The 20362-nt window shown below is 38.5% G+C and overlaps 1 protein-coding gene across 14 annotated transcripts in view; it reads left to right on the top strand.

Moving 5' to 3' along the window:
* Positions 1-20362, top strand: part of BAZ2B (bromodomain adjacent to zinc finger domain 2B) — a 397131-nt gene that overhangs the window by 65873 nt on the left and 310896 nt on the right. For 7 of the 14 annotated variants that reach the window (XM_047444046.1, XM_047444055.1, XM_047444052.1 and 4 more), the window contains one exon: positions 11247-11385. The exons of 2 other annotated variants lie outside the window; for them this stretch is intronic. The gene's annotated coding sequence lies outside the window, so the exon portion shown is untranslated. Of the gene's footprint in view, positions 1-11243; positions 11386-20362 lie in introns of all 14 variants that reach the window. 5 more of the 14 variants (XM_047444040.1, XM_047444039.1, XM_047444042.1 and 2 more) reach the window with 2 other exon arrangements.

Genomic DNA, 20362 nt, shown 5'->3' with positions numbered 1-20362 from the left:
GAACATAAATTGTGAAGATTTCATGGATACTTATCACTTCCCCAATTAATACCCTTGTGATTTCTTATGCCTGTCTTTATTTTAATCTCTTAATCCTGTCATCTCATAAGCTGAGAAGGATGTATATTGCCTCAGGACCCTGTGATGATTGCATTAACTGCAAAAATTGTAGAGCATGTGTGTTTGAACAATATGAAATCTGGGCACCCTGAAAAAAGAACAGGATAACAGCAATGTTCAGGGAACAAGAGAGATAACCTTAAACTCTGACTGCCGGTGAGCCAGGCGGAACAGAGCCATATTTCTCTTCTTTCAAAAGCAAATGGGAGAAATATCACAGAATTCTTTTTCTCAGCAAGGAACATCCCTGAGAAAGAGAATGCGCCCCTGAGGGTGGGCCTCTAAAATGGCCCCCTTGGGTGTGGCCGTCTTCTATGGTCAAAACTGTAGGGATGAAATAAGCCCCAGTCTCCCATAGTGCTCTCAGGCTTATTAGGATGAGGAAATTCCCACCTAATAAATTTTGGTCAGACCCGTTGGTTGCTCTCAAACCTTGTCTCCTGGTAAGATGTTATCAATGACAATGGTGCCCGAAACTTCATTAGCAATTTTAAATTCACCCTGGTCCTGTGGTCCTGTGATCTTGCCCTGCCTCCATTTGCCTTGTGATATTCTATTACCTTGTGAAGTACATGATCTCTGTGACCCACACCCTATTCGTACACTCCCTCCCCTTTTGCAAATCCCTAATAAAAACTTGCTGGTTTTACAGCTCAGGGGGCATCATGGAACCTACCGACATGTGATGTCTCCCCCGGACACCCAGCTTTAAAATTTCTCTCTTTTGTACTCTGTCCCTTTATTTTTCAACCTGGCTGATGCTTAGAGAAAATAGAAAAGAACCTACGTGACTATCGGGGGCAGATTTCCCGATAATTAGGAACTGGGCCACACAAGCAGGAGGTAAGCAGCAGTTGAGTGAGCATTACCACCTGATCTCCACCTCCTGTCAGATCAGCAGTGACATTAGATTCTCAGAGGAATGTGAACCCTATTGTGAGCAGTGCATGGGAGGGATCTAGGTTGCACACTCCTTATGAGAATCTAACTAATGCCTGATGATCTGAGGTGGAACAGTTTCATTCTGAAACCATGGCACCCTCCCACCTTGCTCCATCTGTGGGAAAATTGTCTTCCACGAAACTGGTCCCTGGTGCCGAAAAGGTTAGGGACCACTATTTTAAGCAATGAAATTGGGTATTTAGCAGAGGTGATTTAAAAAAAAAAAAACTTTTTTTAGAGACAGGGCTCTTTCTGTCGCCCAGCCTGGAGTACAATGGCACCATCATAGCTCACTGCAACCTTTACCTCCCAGGCCCAAGTGATCCTCACACCTCAGCCTCCCGAGTAGCTGAGACTATAGGTGCATGCCACCATGCCTGGCTAATTTTATTGTTTGTAGAGACAAGTTTTCACCATGTTGCCCAGGCTGGTCTCGAACTCCTGGGCTCAAGCAATCCACCTGCCTTGGGCTCTCAAAATGCTGGGATTACACGTGTGAGCCACTGTGCCTGGCCCAGAGGTGATTTTTAAAGCCAAGTATTGAAAATATAGCATAGGTCCTCCTTACTACTTATAGTAAAATATGAGAGGCAAGAAATGAAAAAGGAATTATTAAGGAAAAAGTTTTCAGAAGATGGAGATTGGGAAAATTCTTAGCCTGTCCATACTGCACAAAACTTGTTCTGAAGAGAACACGAAGGGTGGTATGGCTGAAGAACCACTTGATAAAGAAATAGTGGGTGCGCCTCCTGGGTGTATTCGTCAATCTCAGCAGAAGCTAGGAATAGAAATGCAATTATAACAACAAAGACACTGCCAGTTTGAACTGAGGACAGAGAAAGACAAGACAGAATGAAGGAAGGCTTTCAGACTTCTTGAATTCTACTGGGCAGGAACGTAGAGCTGTTCAGCTGCAAATGTGCACTATTCTCAAGGAAAGGGAAGAATAACACCAAAGGTGATTCAGAAATCATGAGTGCTGCTACTACCAGCACTAGCCTAAGGGGCAAGACAGCTTCTTAGTTGGTTTCAGAGGGTAATGCCCTCACAGAGAGCCACAGGTGCATGCAGGATCAGACCAAACAGCTGTTGGCATGATATTGCCATCCCAGTAGGCCTGGAAGGTGGGATATCAAGCCAAACACACTTATCTCCAGCCTTAAGATCTAGTGAAGTTTTTCTTACTAGGTTTTAGAGTTGCTAGGGACCTGCCATCATATTCTTCTTCCCTACTTCCCCCTTTTGGAATGGGAATGTCTATCCTATGCATAGCCCACCATTGTATTTTTGAAGCATATAGCTTGTCTGGTTTCACAAGTTCATAGCTGAAGAAGAATTTTTCCTCAAGATGAATAGTACCTTGAGTCTCACCCATATCTGATTTAGATGATACTTATTTAATCCTTTATTAGAGATGGGGTCTTGCTCTGTAGTGCGGTGGCATAATCATAGCTAACTGCAGTGTCTACCTCCTGGGGTCAAGAGATCCTCCCATCTCATCCTCCATGTAGCTAGTAATACATGTGACAGCCACTTTACCCAGGTTAGATAATATTTAAATGAGACTTGGGCTTTAGATGTTTGAGTTGATGCTTGAATAAGTTAAGACTTTTTTTTTTTTTTTTTTTTTTGTGATGGAGTTTCACTCTTGTTGCCCAGGCTGGAGTGCAATGACACATTCTCCACTCACTGCAACCTCTGCCTCCTGGGTTCAAGCGATTCTCCTGCTTCAGCCTCCTGAGTAGCTGGGATTACAGGTGCCCGCCACCACACCTGGCTAATTTTTTGTATTTTTAGTACAGACAGGATTTCACCATGTTGGCCTGGCTGGTCTTTAACTCCTAATCTCAGGTCATTCACCTACCTCGGACTCCCAAAGTGCTGGGATTACAGGCATGAGCCACCGCACCAGCCAAGTTAAGACTTTTAAGGCATGTATTTTGCATATGAGAAGGGTATGAATTACGGGGGACCAAGGATGGAATGTTGGGCTGAATATTTAGATCCTCTGAAAGTTCATATGTTGAAGCCCTAAACTTCAATGTGGCTGTTTTTGGAAATGGGGCCTGTAAGGGTAAGTGAGATTGTAAGAATGAGGCTTGATCTGATAGGATTAGTGTTTTTATAAGGAGAGATGATAGAGAGTTCACTTTCCCCCTATGCCATGTTAGGAAGGAGCAAGATGGTGGCTGCGTATAAGCCAAGAGAAGAGGCTTCAGAATGAAACCAATCTTACCATGACCTTGATCTTGGACTTAACCAGCTTTTAGAACTATAAGAAAAAAATTTTGTGGGTTAAACCACCAGTGTATTGTATTTTGTTGTGGCAACCCAAGCAGACAAATACACTCACAAAGATGAAAGTGAAGCAAACAAGTAAAATGTGATAATGCCATTAGTGATATTCAAGTCTATCATAAATGGAGTTATAGAAAAAATGGCTGATTATGAAAATGTTGACATTGCTGTCATTCAAAAGATTCTAGATATTAAGTCAGGAACTTAGTATTGGTGAAGTTATCAACATAAATGAAGGAAGTGATTGTGAGGAGAAGTATTAAGATGTCCCAAGGAAAGTGATACAGCAAAAAAGTTTCAAGATAACTCATGAGATACTCGATAATATTGAAAACACAAAGGATAAAATGATGGAACGTGATCCATACTTAGAAAGGAGTATGAAATTCACCGAGGCTTAGAAAAGGTGAACATTCCCTACGTTAATTTATAGGAGAAGAAGGGAAGCACTGTTCATCCTACTCTTGATAGGATTTTTAACAAAGATAAAACATTTTAATTCTCTTTTTTAATGTTTTAAATTATTTCATACAAAATAAATATTAGTTGTAATCTTTTTTCATTTTTCTATAATTTATTCCTACATTAGGAAAGTTTTCCATGTTTTGCCAAAAATTAGTAAAAGTCACAGGACAATTATAATTTCCCCCATTAGTTATTAAGAATGTTTTGGCTGGGCACGCTGGCTTACACCTGTAATCCCAGCACTTTGGGAGGCCGAGGCGGGTGGATCACTTGAGGGCCAGCAATTCAAGACCAGCCTGGCTAACGTGATGAAACCCCATCTGCACTAAAAATACAAAAATTAGCTAGGTGTGGTGGCTGGCACCTATAATCCCAGCTACTTGGGAGGCCGAGACAGGAGAATGACTTGAACCCAGGAGGCAGAGGTTGCAGTGAGCCAAGATGGTGCTATTGCACTCCAGCCTAGGTGACAGAGCGAGACTTTGTTTCAAAAAAAAAAAAAAAAAGAAAGAAAGAAAGGAAAAAGAAAATAGAAAACAATCAATCTATGGAAAACATACTGTAGAACAAGAGAAACATTCTCGTCAAAATTCAATGTATATAACACTGAAAATTAAGTAGAAGAAAAATCCACATTTTCAATTTCTGCTATAGTTAAAGAGTAAGCTTGATCTTAATAGAACTTGAGCAGAAAATGCAAACTAAAATAGAAAAATTTCAGAATTAGATAAAAGGGAGTTGAATGATACAAGGAAAGATTCTAAGTAGATTAATGCTTCACTGGTAGAATTATTTATGTCTATATTAGAGGGAATATGTACCTAAATGTGCAAACATTGTGATACTGAGTTTACCTTGTGAGCAGAGGAGAAAAAAGGAAAAATATGAAAATAATATTATATTTGAGAGATAACTAAGGTATGTTTATAATTTCAAAATAAGAACAATGTTGGGATAACTGGCTAGCCATTATGCAGAAGATTGAAACTGGACCCCCTCCTTACACCATATACAAAAATCAACTCAAGATGGATTAAAGAATTAAATGTAAAACCCAAAACTAAAAACCCTGGAAAACAACCTAGGCAATACTATTCAGGAGATAGGCACAGGCTAAGATTTCATGACCGGACTCCAAAAGCAATTGCAACAAAAGCAAAAATTGACAAATGGCATTTAATTAAACTGAAGAGCTTCTGCATAGCAAAAGCAACTATCAACAGAGTAAACAGACTGCCTACAGAATGAGAGAACATTTTTGCCAACTATGCATCTGACAAGGTCTAATATGCAGCGTCTATAAGGAAATTAAACAAATTTACAAGAAAAGAAAACCCACTAAAAAGCGGGCAAAGGACATGAACAAACACTTTTCAAAAGAAGACATACATGTGGCCCAACAATCATGTGGAAAAAAGCTTAACATCACAGATAATTAGACAAATGCAACTCAAAACCGCAATGAGATACTAACACCAGTCAGACTGGCTATTATTAAAAAGTCAAAAAATAACAGATGCTGGTGAGGTTGTGGAGAAAAAGGAATGCTTTTACACTGTTAATGGTAGTGTAAATTAGTTCAACCATTGTGGAAGACAGTGTGGCTATAAATCATTTCTTCTAGATTTTCCAATGTATTGGCATATAGTTGCTCCTGGTAGACACTAATGATCCTTTGAATTTCTGCAATATCAGTTGTAATGTCTCCTTTTTCATCTCTGATTTTATTTATTTGGTTTTTTTCTTTGTCTAAAGGTTTGTCAATTTTATTTTTTTCAAAAAACAATTTTTGTTTTGCTAATTTTTTGTTTTGTTTTCTTCATTTCTATTTCATTTATTTCTTCTCTGAGCTTTATTATTTCTTTTCTTCTACTAATCTTGGATTTGATTTGCTATTGCTTTTCTAGTTTTTTTTTTAAATGTTTCATCCTGTCTTATGATGCTGAGCTTTTCCAGTTCTTTAAGATGCATCATTAGGTTATTTATTTGAAGTTTTTCTTCTTTTTGATATAGGTACTTACAGCCATAAATTTCCTTCTTACTACTGCCTTCAGTGTATTCCATAGGTTTTGATATGTTGTGTTTCCATTATTTGTTTCAAGAAAGCTTTCAATTTCCTTCTTACTTTTTCATTGACACACTGGCCTTTCAAGAGCATATTGTTTAATTTTCATGTGTTTGCATAGTTTCCAAAATTCCTCTTGTTATTGAGTTCTGGTTTTATTCCATGTGGTTAGAGAATATATTTGATACTATTTCAGGTTTTTTTTTGAATGTTTTAAGATTTGTTTTGTGACCTAATTTATGGTCTATCCTTGAGAATGATTCATATGCCAAGAAGAAGAATGTATATTCTGCAGCTGTTGCATGAAATGTTCTGTAAATAGCTATGAGGCCCATTTTTTGTGTATAGCAGATTAAGTCTGATGTTTCTTTGTTGATCTTGTGTCTGGGAGATCTGTCCAATGCTGAAAGTGGGATTTTGAATTCACTATTATCGTATTGGAATCTATCTCTCTCTTTAGTTCTAATAATATTTGCTTTATATATCTGGCTGCTCCAGTGTTGGATATATAAGTATTTAGAATTATTATATCCTTTGCTGAATGAACGTTTCTGATTATGTAATGAACTTCTGTATCTCTTCTTGTGGTTTTTGTTTTGAAATCTATTTTGTCTATGTCAATATAGCTATTCCTGCTTTTTTGGTTTCCATTGGCACCAAATGAATGTTTTTTTCCATCCCTTTATTTTCAGTCTATGTGTATCTTTATGGGTGAAGTGTGTTTCCTATAGGCAACAAATCACTGGATCTTATTTTTTTTAATCCATTCAGCTACTCTGTGTCTTTTGATTGGAGAGTTTAGTCTATTTACATTTAGTGTTATTATTGATAAGTAGGGACTAACTCCTGCCACTTTGCTACTTGTTTTCTGGTTTGTTTGTTTATTTGTTTTGTGGTCTTCTCCTCCTTCTCTCCTTCCTTCCTGTCTTCCTTTTAGTTTGATTTTTTTCTAGTGGTATGATTTAATTTCTTTTTATTTTTTGTGCATCCATTGTATGTTTTCTGATTTGAGAGTACTGTGAAACTTGCAAATACTACCTTATAACCCACTATTTTAAACTGATGACGACTTAACACTGCTTGCATAAACAAACAAATATGAGAGAGAAAACTAATAAAAACAATATACTTTAAGTTCATCTCCCTGCTTTTTAACTTTTTGTGGTTTCTCCTTGTTTCACTCTAACTGTCTATGTCTAGAAATGCTTGTAGTTATTATTTTTGATTGTTTTATCATTTATTCTTTCTACTTAAGAGTAATTTACACACCACAATTACAGTGTTACACTATCCTGGGTTTTTTTATGTGCTTACCATTACCAGTGTTTTTTAACTTCAGATGATTTCTTCTTGCTTATGAATGTCCTTTTCTTTCAGATTGAGGAAATCCCTTTAAGATTTCTTGTAGGACAGGTCTGGTCTTGATGAAAGCCCTCAGCTTTCGTCTGTCTGGGAACATCTTTATTTGTCCTTCCTGATTTGAAGAATATTTTTGCTGGATATAGAATGCTAGGGTAAAAGTGGTTTTTGTTGTTGTTGTTGTTGCTTTGTGTGTGTGTGTGTGTTTTCCCAACACTTTAAATATGTTATGCTACTCTCTCCTGGCCTGTAAGTTTCCATTGAAAAGTGTGCTGCCAGACATATTGGAGCTCCGTTGTATGCTGTTTATTTCTTTTATCTTGCTGCTTTTAGAATATTTTATTTATTCTTGACCTTTGGGAGTTTGATTACTAAATTTCTTGAGATAATCTTCTTTGGATTAAATCTGCTTGGTGTTCTGTAACCTTCTTGTACTTGAATGTTGATGTCTTTAACTTTGGGAATTTCTTTATATCCCTTTGAATAAAGTTTCTACCCCTGTCTCTTTCTCTACCTCCTCTTTAAGGCCAGTAACTCTTAGATTTGCCCTTTTGACGCTATTTTCTAGATCTTGTAGGCATGCCTCATTGTATTTTTATTTTTTTTCTTTTGTCTCCTCTGACTTTGTATTTTTAAATAGCTTGTCTTCAAGCTCACTGTTTTTTTTCTGCTTAATCAAGTCTGCTATTAAAAAACTCTGATGCATTCTTCAGCATGTCAATTGCATTTTCAACTCTAGAATTTCTGCTTGATTCTTTTAAATTATTTCAATCTCTCTGTTAAACTTACCTGATAGAATTCTGAATGACTTATCTGTGTTATCTTGAATTCTTTGAAGCTTCCTCACAACAGCTATTCTGAATTCTTTGTCTGAAAGGTCATATATCTCTTTTTCTCCAGGATTGTTCCCTGGTGTCTTACTTAGTTCATTTGGTGAGGTCATGTTTTCCTGGATGATGCTGATGCTTATAGATGTTCATCAGTGTCTGGACATTGAAGAGTTAGGTATTTATTATAGTCTCCACCGTCTGGGCTTGTTTGTGCCTGTCGTTCTTGAGAAGTCTTTCTAGGTATTCAAAGGGACTTGGGCCCCAAGCCCAATAATGCTGTGTTTTTTGTGGACTCATGCCTAAGGTATCTCCTTGGTGGTCATGGATAAGAGCCAGAATTCTCTTGATTACCACGCAGAGACTTTTGTTCTTTTTTCTTACTTTCTTCCAGACAAACGGAGTCTCTCTCTCTCTGTGTGCTGAGTCACCTGGAACTGGGGGTATGGTGATGCAAGCACCCTTCTAGCCACCACTACTGTTACTGCAGTGGGTCAGACCTGAAGCCAGCACAGCAATGGGCCTTGCCCAAGGACCTTTCCTTCAGGGTGGCGAGTTCCTCCAGGTCCCCGGCATATCCAGAGATGCTGTCTGGGAGCCAAGGATTGGAGTCAAAAACTTTAGAAATTTACAGCCAGGTGTGGTGGCTCACACATATAATCCTAACAATTTGGGAGGCTGAGGTAGATGGATTGCTTGAGCTCACAAGTTCGAGACCAGTGTAGTCAACATGGTGAAACCCTGTCTCTACAGAAAAATACAAAAAAAATTACTCGGGCATGGTGGTGTGCGCCTGTAGTCCCAGCTACTTGAGAGGCTGTGGTGGGAGGATTGCTTGAGTGTGGGAGGTTGAGGCTGCAGTGAGCTGTGATCGTGCCACTGCACTCCAGCCTAGGTGACAGAGGGTCTCGAAAAAAATAAAAATAAAAAGCCTTAGCAATTTACCTGATGTTTTATTTTACTATGGCTAAGCTAGCACTCAAACCACAATATAGAGGCCTTCCCCAGTGTTTCCTCTCCTTTCCACAGGCAGCGGAGCTTCTTCTTGTGGCCAGCACCACCAACAGTCCATGGCAGGTTCTGCCAGGCCACAGCTGATGTTCAGTTCAAGCCCAAAGACTCTTTTATCAGCTTATGGTGAATGCTGCCAGGCCTGGGACTCACACTCAGGACAGTGGGCTCCCCTCTGGAGCCCCTCCCAGGGCAGGTCCAGAAATTCTGTCCAAGAGCCTAGGCCTGGACTTAGGGACCCTTAGAGCCTGCTTGTTGCTCTACCCCACTGTGTACAAGCTGGTACCTAAGGTGCAAGACAAAGTCCCCTTTACTTTTTCCTCTACTTTTCTCAAACAGAAGGAGTCTTCCACCATAGCCACCATAGCTGGGATTGTGCTGGGTCCCACCTGAAGCCAGTACATCTCAGAGTCTGAGGCCCACTGTGTACTCCCCCGGTATTGCTGCTGGTTATTCAGGGCCCAAGGACTCTTTAGTCAGCAGGTGATGAATCTTCCCAGGACTAGGTCCTTCCCTTGAAGGTAGTGGATTCCCTTTTGGCCCAGGGTATGTCTAGAAATGTCATCTGGAAGCTAGTGCCTGGAGTGGGGGCCTCACAACTCTGCCCAGTGCCCTATCCTATTGTGATTGAGCTGGTTTCCAATATGCAAGACCAAGTCCTCTTTATTACTCTTAGCTCTCCTTAAGCAAAAGGAGGGAGGTCACTTTCATTGCTACAAGCTGGATTGCCTGGATTGGGAGAGGGATGGCATAAGCACTCCTATAGCCACCCCAACTAGTATCTTCCTAGGTCACATGCCACCATAGTTCCGTGGCTCTAAGCCCAGCCTAGCATTAGGATTTGCCTAGGAATTGCAGTCCTTGTGTCCTAGACTGTCTTTCAAGTTTACCTGGGACCCCAGAGCACTTCAGCCCACAGTGGTGAGGCTTGTCAAGAAACTCAAGTGCTGACCACCGCGATGAGTGATTTCCCTCTGTCTAGTTCTGATCCAAATGCTGTAGTCCAAAAGCCCCCTCCATGCATAGGTGCCAGTTGAGTCCAGCACAGGTTTATTCTCCACTATGACAGGGCATCACTGAGTTCAGTATAATTCTCCCAGGAGCTGCATTCTCCCTCCCCACAGTGGTGAGAGTTTCTCTCCATGCAACACAACTACCGTCAGGAGGTGGGAGCGGGGAGGCAGTGGCAATTGAAGACCATCTCTCCTGCCCTCCTCAATGCGTCTTTCAGGAATATGAAGTTAAAGCCAGGTACTGTGATTGCTCACCTTACTTTTGGTTTTTGTGATGGTGATTTTCTGTGTGCAGATAGTAATTAAAATTTGGTGTTCCATTTGGGGGTCGAGCAGTGTAGGCTTCTATTCTGCCACCGTGCTCTGCCCCCCGTTATCCATGTTATGTTTTTTCTATTTGTTTTGTTTTGTTTGAGATGGAGTCTTGTTCTGTCACCTATGCTGGAGTGCAGTGGCATGAACATGGTTCACTGCTGCCTTGACCTCCCAGGCTTAAGCAATCCTCCCACTTCAGCCTCCCTAGTATCTGAGACTGCAGGCATGTGCTACCACACCTGGCTATTTTCTTAATTTTTTATAGAGACAGGGTCTCCCTATGTTGCCCAGGGACTTTTTGTTTTAAAGAGTAAGATACCTCTTGATTATCAGCTTTGCCATTATGGACCATTATTATCTAAACAATGCTTTAGATATTTGCATGGTTTCAATTAAGCATGTTTTCAATTAGGAAAAAAGACTCCTGTTTAAAGCTGGTAGAAAGAAGCTACAGAAATGTCCTCCTATGATACCTAAAAATATGCACTATAACAATGTTAAAAAGAGGAAGGGAAGAGTAGCAGAACCAGACAAGAAAAAAAAAAAAGAAACAAATTATTCACCAGCAGCAACCAGAAATAACAAACAGGATAGAATTTCATCATACATTTCAAAAGATGATAGCCAAGGAAAGAAATAGAAAATTTCCTAAAGCGTAGTGTGGCGCCCAGGACCACATGTGCTCCGAAAAAGCTGTGATCTTGAGACTCATCATTAATTTACCTGAAATAGTAGAGGAATCGATTTATGGAGTTTTTGTTTTGGGTTTTGTTATTTTTTTTATTTTTATTTTTTTTTTACATTTTTCTTTCTCTTACTCTGTAAAAGTAGCAACAGCTGCTGAGAAGAGATGACTAAAAGCTGAAAAGTGAAGAATTAACACTGATTTCTTGGCAGAAGCAGAAGCTTCAGGACTCCTGAATTGAGGGAATGATCTAAATTCCAAGGATTATCTCTCAGTGAGAACAAGGTATGTTCCCTTTCCTGAGTAGATAGGGCAAACCTCCCAGAAAATCTCAAACAGCTGAATCCCATTCCTCCACCCAAAGCTGCACATTAAAGTTGCCACAAAATTCCAGCTGACATGTCTTCTTTCTATTCCTAGACTTTAGCCATACTAAATTTCTCATGGTATGGCCATTTTTCTTTGCTATTTGAAAAAATCCTGTTTGTAGCACCTTGTAGCCATGTGACTTCTGCCACTTGTTTTGTTTCTCCAAAGATAATTCGCCTCTCTTTGGATTGTCTCTTCATTAAATATATGGAGGGAAAAAGAGAGAAGTTTTAAAAAGTAATTTTAAGTCATTCAGGCTAGGGGTGTTTTAAAGTCATTGACTATCTTTTAAACAAAACTCAGTGACATTTTCAGTAAACATTACTGGTAAAACAGTAAACGCTTTCCAGAATAAGCAGAAAATAATGCTTTTTAGTATTTTTGTCTTCAAAGGTGGAGAAGAAACTAAAGCTAAGGAAGTTATCATTCAGTATTGCACTCCTCAGAGTAAAATCAGACATAAAACCACACAGTTGCTAAATTCATTAAACCAGCAGCGAAATAATATTTTGTCTATAGTGAAGGCAAAAATCAACTCGTCAAAATTCTTTATACACATGATACTTTTGGACAGTATAATATCAACAATGTATAATATGAAAGCACAATTATTCTAACATGTGCATGCTAATGGATAATTACCATTACAGTTGGATGCAGATTTTCTATGGCAAGGGTATGAGCAAATCTTTGATCTACATGCGGTTCATGTAAGGGGGGAAGTGCTTGACAGCTTGTTCCTTTCATATTGAAAATCCTTGCAAAAAGGGGATGAGATTTTTAAAAATTGGCTTGTGATTATTTTGTGAGTCAAAAAAGTTTTCTAAAAATGATGTGTTGAGATCAGTATTAACAGAGCAGCAGCTATAGAACAAGAAAGATCACCATTACGTTAAAGAAATTGCACTAGAATATTCTCACACTGTGCTATTCCTAGAACATAATTGTCTATAAATGTGAACTCTGATCTTGGTTGTCTTATTAAAGGCAGTAGTGAAAATTGTACTCATTATTGAATTTTGGTCCTTGTGTATATATTTTTTAGAATACAGTGAAAATATGGCTGGGCACGGTGGCTCACACCTGTAATCCCAGCACTTTGGGAGCCCGAGGTGGGTAGATCACCTGAGGTCAGGAGTTCAAGACCAGCCTGGCCAACATGCCAAAACCTCATCTCTACTAAATATACAAAAATCAGCTGGATGTGGTGGTACGTTCTGGTAATTCCAGCTACTTGGGAGGCTGAGGCATGAGAATTGCTTGAACCTGGGAAGCAGAGTTGCAGTGAGCCGAGATCGTGCCACTGCGCTCCAGCCTGGGTGACGGAGTGAGACTCTATCTTAAAAAAAAAAAAAAAAAAAAGAATAAAGTGAAAATAAATGGGCAGTGAATATAAAAACTCTGGTTTCCAACCTGAAACATACTGGCTATCAAGAGAGAAGGTAGTCATGAATTTTTAAAATCAGATATGAGATAAAAACATTTCCCCATGACCCTAAAAAAGACCATTTTAGTGATTTCAGGGAGCTTTCCCAAATGGCATGTGGTAGTACCATGAATAGCTTGAAACTGTCCTTCAGGGCTAAACTATTATGAATTTTAATGCTGAAGATAATATGTGAGGACAACCTATGATGCAAACATGGTTTAATCACTGTCAGGTGGCCTCTTTAACACACTGAGGATATGTATTCTCCTTCGCCTGTCTCTACCCAGAAAAAGTAGTCATTCCTTACTAAGTAAATTGTGTAATCATTTTATTTTGAATATTTATATTAGAGTAGTTATCACATTGTATCAGATACTTTGGGGTGTGAATGCCTCTCAGTTGGACTGTGCATTCTTCAAGGGCTAGCAGTTTTGCTCCGCCTCAACAGAGGTGTGCTGGTAACTCTTTTAAAAATAGACTTTCTGGGAGAGTGAGACCTTGTCTAAAAAAAAAAAAAAAGACTTTCTGGGAATAAAAATGTATGCTTATAAGTACATACCTAAGTTTATAAATTCTATTGATGTAACAGCAGTATCATACAATTCACAAATAATAATAAAATATGCAGTACTGTCTTGTAAAATTCATATAGCCAGTTGATTCTCACAGAATGCCCTAGTTGATTTTTACCCAACCCTTGTGTCTGTAGTCTTACTGGTAGCCAATCTATGGTTGCAATTGTTGAGCAAATGCAATTCTGACATGCATGTTTATTGATATTTTTGTTTAAACGAGTAAGAGGAACATAAAACAACAAAAGTATATGTTGGAACTTTACTTTTTCATCAGTGATGTGAACAACTTCTTGCTAGATTTTTAATAGTTTTGAAATATTGGAAGATTATTTCCTCATTTCTTGTGATATTTACAGTGTATCACTTTAATTTGCACTATGTAAATTTTTTCTGTCTCTTAAGTTTATCAGCACCACATTAAATTATAGCCCACATTAAGTTATATATGAGGCGTAAACATTCCCACCATGGCTGATTTCAGGCTTCCAACATGACATCACTTATCACAGAGTTGGGACGAGATGCACAGTAGCACACCACTACATAGGTGTTTCTTTGCCATAGTACAATAGAGATAAATAACCTCAAGTGCATACATAATAGTAGAGTAAGATGTGATGAGTTTTAAGGACTTGTTTTTAATAAATAAATTTAAATTTATTTTATGTTTGAAGATATTTATTTTTTGGTAATGACTATTTAATAACCAGCTTGCAAAATTCCTGAGAATTTAGCATTTGACTTTTATAAGCTGGGCAGAATCAGGCCCAGCACATTGATGCCCCTGTAGTGCTGTGCATAACCTACACAGCTTTGTGTGACTGGCTTGGGTGAACAGCAGTCTGTTAGTTAACTCAATCAATTTATTCTATTTGTTATTATGCCCTTGGATTTCATACAGGATTGTCATGGGAAAGATCATACAAATGATCTCTATGTACCTGATGTAAAATTACTTCAAAAACTTTCTCTATTACTCCAATATTTTGTTAATTTTGTCTTAATGAATTGCTAAATTTCTGACTTACCAGATAAGGAGAATGGTAATTATATTCCCTCTTCATTTTGTCTGCATTGAAACTCACAGGTAAATTGTCTGCAGCTTACCTATAACTGTTAAAGGACAATGAGATCTTTAAATTTCTTCTTTTTAAAAATGAAATCTATGTTGAAATCTTGTGATATATAGATGTACATATATATATATACACATACATGTATTGGACACATATATTTGCATGTACCATTTGAAATTTGGTTTCTTACCAACATTTGAAAGGAAATGTTGAGTAAATTCTTGATTTGTTACCTTTATTTACCAGTTTTCAAAATGAGTTGGTTCCCTAGCATCATTCAAAGGTGAACAAAAAGGTTTTTTTAGTATAATTATGAACTCATTTATTAAAATACACATTTGTTATGTTTCTATCCATTGCAGTTATTGTTAACATTCAAATTGTTTCATCTTTGGCCAATGGGAGCCACCTTATATTGGACCCTTCAAATTGGCTACCAAGTCCTTTTGACATGACACCAATAATCTTTCATAATTTCCATGCTTACTGGTGTGACAGGGTATTCTAAGCTCATTTTTGAATATTTCTTGACCCAAATATGGAGTCAGCCATTGCTTCATGGAATTTTTTAGGGGTAGATGGTGTATAGAGACCATAATCTGTATACTGTGGGTATGTGCTGGTTGCTATACACTGGTCCCTGTTTCTAGGTATTTACAGTATGCAAGTAAGATGTATTTTTAAGTATAAAATATAAAATGAGTTCATTCTAATACATACATTTTAAATTCAGTATCACAGAGTTTTTATGCAATTCAAAAATTAATTTCCCAAAAACACCAACATATTCATTTTTTTCTTTTTATTTATTTATTCATTTATTTTTTGACAGGGTCTTGCTTTGTTGCCCAGGCTGGAATGCAGTGGCACAATCATGGCTCACTGTAGTTTTGCCCTCCTGGGCTCAAGCAGTCCTCCCACCTCAACTTCCTGAGTACCTGGGACTACAGGTGTGTACCACCATGCCCGGGTAAATTTTAAAATTTTTTTGTAAAGTTGGGGTTTCACCACGTTGCCGAGGCTGGTCTCTAACTCCTGAGCTCAAGCAATCCTCCTACTTGGGCCTCTCAAAATGTTGGGACTACACACGTGAGCCACTGGGCCTGGCCATTTGCTTTTTCTCAGACTGTGCTTGCAACAGTGTTACAATAACACCACCAATAATAGCATAAGAATACGGTTAGTCTGGCCGGGCGCGGTGGCTCACGCCTGTAATCCCAGCACTTTGGGAGGCCGAGGCGGGCGGATCACGAGGTCAGGAGATCGAGACCATCCTGGCTAACACGGTGAAACCCTGTCTCTACTAAAAATACAAAAAAATTAGCCGGGCGTGGTAGCGGGCGCCTGTAGTCCCAGCTACTCGGGAGGCTGAGGCAGGAGAATGGCGTGAACCCGGGAGGCGGAGCTTGCAGTGAGCCGAGATTGCGCCACTGCACTCCAGCCTGGGCGACAGAGCGAGACTCCGTCTCAAAAAAAAAAAAAGAGAGAAGAATACGGTTAGTGATAATTTCAGTTGCTGTTTTGTCTTGTTGCTTTGAATACTATATACTGTTAACTTAGTGTGTTTTAGTTGTTGTGTTTTAAAGTCACTTGGAATAATTCTCTATGGTTATGCCACCAACTTCACATACAAGTAAGTTCATTTATTTTTTTGGGTTTCACTTTTATGGGATTGTATTTTGTTTTTTTGGTTTTTTTGAGATGCAGTCTCACTCTCTTGCCCAGGCTGAAATGTAGTGGCATGGTCATAGCCCACTGCAGCCTTGAACTCCTGGGCTCAAGCAATCCTCCTGCCTTGGCTTCCCAAAGCACTGGGATTACAGATGCAAGCCAGTGCAACTGGCCTGCTTTTTAACTTTGTTTCTCTTTTATTATAATAATGTAAATGACTTTATATGGTTCCAAATTCACATCTACAATACAGGTTTTATGAGATACCCACATACTGTACTGTTCCTATTTTTACTACTCTGCTCCCTTCCTCCTTTTAGGTAACCATGTTTTTTTAAAGGTTTTAATTTATCCTTTCAGTTAAAAAATAGGTAAATATTTAGATGAATGGTGACATACTATACTACATTTTTCTCCAACTTGCTTTCTTCACTTAACGATAAATACTGGAATTCACTGTAAAGTGCTTCATACTGTATATGTCCCTCATACTTTTTAATTTTTATTTCTTTATATTTTATTTTTTATTATACTTTAAGTTCTGGGTTACATGTGCAGAATGTGCAGGTTTGTTATGTAGGTATACAAATGCCATGGTGGTTTACTGCATCCATTAACCCATCATCTACATTAGGTATTTCTCCTAATGCTATCCCTCCCCTAGCCCCCTATCCCCCAACAGGCCCCAGTGTGTGACGTTCCCCTCGCTGTGTCCATGTGTTCTCATTGTTCAACTCCCACTTATGAGTGAGAACATGCGGTGTTTGCTTTTCTGTTCTTGTGTTAGTTTGCTGAGAATGATGGTTTCCAGCTTCATCCATGTGCCTGCAAAGGACATGAACTCATCCTTTTATATGGCCGCATAGTATTCCATGTTGTATATGTGCCACATTCTCTTTATCCAGTCTATCATTGATGGGCATTTGGGTCGGTTCCAAGTCTTTGCTATTGTGAATAGTGCTGCAATAAACATATGTGTGCACGTGTCTTTATAGTAGCATGATTTATAATCCTTTGGGTATATACCCACTAATGAGATTGCTGGGTCAAATAGTATTTCTAGTTCTAGATCCTTGAGGAATTGCCACACTGTCTTCCACAATGGTTGAACTAATTTACACTCCCACCAACAGTATAAAAGCATACCTATTTCTCTACATTCTCCCCAGCATCTGTTGTTTCCTGACATTTTAATGATTGCCATTCTAACTGGCATGAGATGGTAGCTCATTGTGGTTTTGATTTGCATTTCTCTAATGACCAGTGATGATGAGCTTTTTTTCATATGTTTGTTTGCTGCATAAATGTCTTCTTTTGAGAAGTGCCTGTTCACATCCTTCACCCACCCCACTTTTTGATGGGGTTGTTTGTTTTTTCTTGTAAATTTGTTTAAGCTCTTTGTAGATTCTGGATATTAGCTCTTTGTCACATGGATAGATTGCAAAAATTTTCTCCCATTCTGTAGGTTTCCTGTTCACTCTGATGATAGTTTCTTTTGCTGTGCAGAAGCTCCTTAGTTTAATTAGTCCCATTTGTCAATTTTGGCTTTTGTTGCCATTACTTCTGGTGTTTTACTCATGAAGTCTTAGCCCTTGCCTATGTCCTGAATGGTATTGCCTAGGTTTTCTTCTAGGGTTTTTATGGTTTTAGGTCTTACGTTTAAGTCTTTAATCCGTCTTGAGTTAATTTTTGTATAAGGTGTAAGGAAGTGGTCCAGTTTCAGTTTTCTGCATATGGCTAGCCAGTTTTCCCAACACCATTTATTAAATAGGGAATCCTTTCCCCATTGCTTCTTTTTCTCAGGTTTGTCAAAGATCACATGGTTGTAGATGTGTGGTGTTATTTCTCAGGTTTCTGTTCTGTTTCATTGGTCTATATATCTGTTTCGGTACCAGTACTGTGCTGTTTTGATTACTGTAGCCTTGTAGTATAGTTTGAAGTCAGGTAGCGTGACGCCTACAGCTTTGTTCTTTTTGCTTAGGATTGTCTTGGCCATGCGGGCTCATTTTTGGTTCCATATGAAATTTAAAGTAGTTTTTTCTAATTCTGTGAAGAAAGTCACTGGTAGCTTGATGGGGATAGCATTGAATGTATAAATTACTTTGGGCAGTATGGCCATTTTCACAATATTGACTCTTCCTATCCATGAGCATAGAATGTTTTTCCATTTGTTTGTGTCCTCTCTTACTTCCTTGAGCAGTGGTTTGTAGTTCTCCTTGAAGAGGTCCTTCACATCCCTTGTAAGTTGGATTCCTAGGTATTGTATTCTCTTTATAGCAGTTGTGAATGGGAGTTCACTCATGATTTGGCTCTCTGTTTCTCTATTATTGGTATGTAGGAATGCTTGTGATTTTTGCACTTTGATTTTGTATCCTCAGACTTTGCTAAAGTTGCTTATCTGCTTAAGGAGATTTTGCGCTGAGACAATGGGGTTTTCTAAATACACAATCATGTCATCTGCAAACATTGACAATTTGACTTCCTCTTTTCCTATTTGAATACCCTTTATTTCTTTCTCTTGCCTGATTGCCCTGGCCAGAACTTCCAATACTATGTTGAACAGGAGAGGTGAGAGAGGGCATCCTTGTCTTGTGCTGGTTTTCAAAGGCAATGCTTCCAAATTTTGCCCGTTTAGTATGATATTTATTGTGGGTTTATCTTAAATAGCTCTTATTATTTTGAGATACGCTTCATCAATACCTAGTTCATTGAGAGTTTTTAGCATGAAGGGGTTTTGAATTTTATCAAAGGCCTTTTCTGCATCTATTGAGATAATCATGTGGTTTTTGTCATTGATTCTGTTTATGTGATGGATTACGTTTATTGATTTGCATATGTTGAACCAGCCTTGCATCCCAGGGTTGAATCTGACTTGATCGTGGTGGATAAGCTTTTTGATGTGCTGCTGGATTTGGTTTGACAGTTTTTTATTGAGAATTTTCACATTGATGTTCATCAAGGATATTGGCCTGAAATTTTTTTTTTTTTTTGGTGTGTCTGCCAGGTTTTGGTATCAGGATGATGCTCGCCTCATAAAAAGAGGGAGGATTCCCTCTTTTTCTATTGTTTGGAATAGTTTCAGAAGGAATGGTACCAACTGCTCTGTGTACCTCTGGTAGAAGAATTCAGCTGTGAATCCGTCTGGTCCTGGACTTTTTTTGTGTGGTAGGATATTAATTACTGTCTCAATTTCAAAACTTGTTATTGGTCTATTCAGGGATTCAACTTCTTCTTTGTTTAGACTTGGGACGGTGTATGTGTCTATGAAATTATCCATTTCTTCTAGATTTTCTAGTTTATTTGCGTAGAGGTGTTTATAGTGTTCTCTGATGGTAGTTTGTATGTCTATGGTATCAGTGGTGACATCCACTTCATCATTTTTTATTGCGTCCATTTGATTCTTCTCTCTTTTCTTCTTTATTAGTCTGGCAGGTGGTCTATCTCTTTTGTTGATCTTTTCAAAAAACCAGGTCCTGGATTCATTGATTTTTTGAAGGGTTTTTCATGTCTCTATCTCCTTTGGTTCTGTTCTGATCTTAGTTATTTCTTGTCTTCTGCTAGCTTTTGAATTTGTTTGATCTTGCTTCTCTAGTTCTTTTAATTGTGATGTTAGAGTGTCAATTTTAGATCTTTCCTCCTTTCTCTTGTGGGCATTTAGTGTTATAAATTTCCCTCTACACACTGCTTTAAATGTGTCCCAGAGATTCTGGGACGTTGTGTCTTTGTTCTCATTGGTTTCAAAGAATATCTTTATTTCTGCCTTAATGTTGTTATTTACCCAGTATTCATTCAGGTTGTTCAGTTTCCATGTAGTTGTGCAGTTTTGAGTGAGTTTCTTAATCCTGAGTTCTAATTTGATTGCACTATGGTCTGAGAGAGTGTTTGTTATGATTTCCATTCTTTTGCATTTGCTGAGGAGTGTTTTACGTCTTATGTGGTCAATTTTAGAATAAGTGTGATGTGGTGCTGAGAAGAATGTATATTCTGTTGATTTGGGGTGGAGAGTTATATAGGTGTTTATTAGATCCGCTTGGTCCAGAGCTGAGTTGAAGTCCTGAATATTCTTAATTTTTTGTCTTGTTGATCTGTGTAATATTGACAGTGGGGTGTTAAAGTCTCCCACTATTATTATGTGGGAGTCT

This window comes from Homo sapiens, chromosome 2 (assembly GCF_000001405.40).
Source record: "Homo sapiens chromosome 2, GRCh38.p14 Primary Assembly".
Classification (NCBI taxonomy): domain Eukaryota; kingdom Metazoa; phylum Chordata; class Mammalia; order Primates; family Hominidae; genus Homo; species Homo sapiens.
The sequence above is the reverse complement of the archived record's forward strand: the minus strand, read 5'-3'. Positions and strand labels throughout refer to the sequence as shown.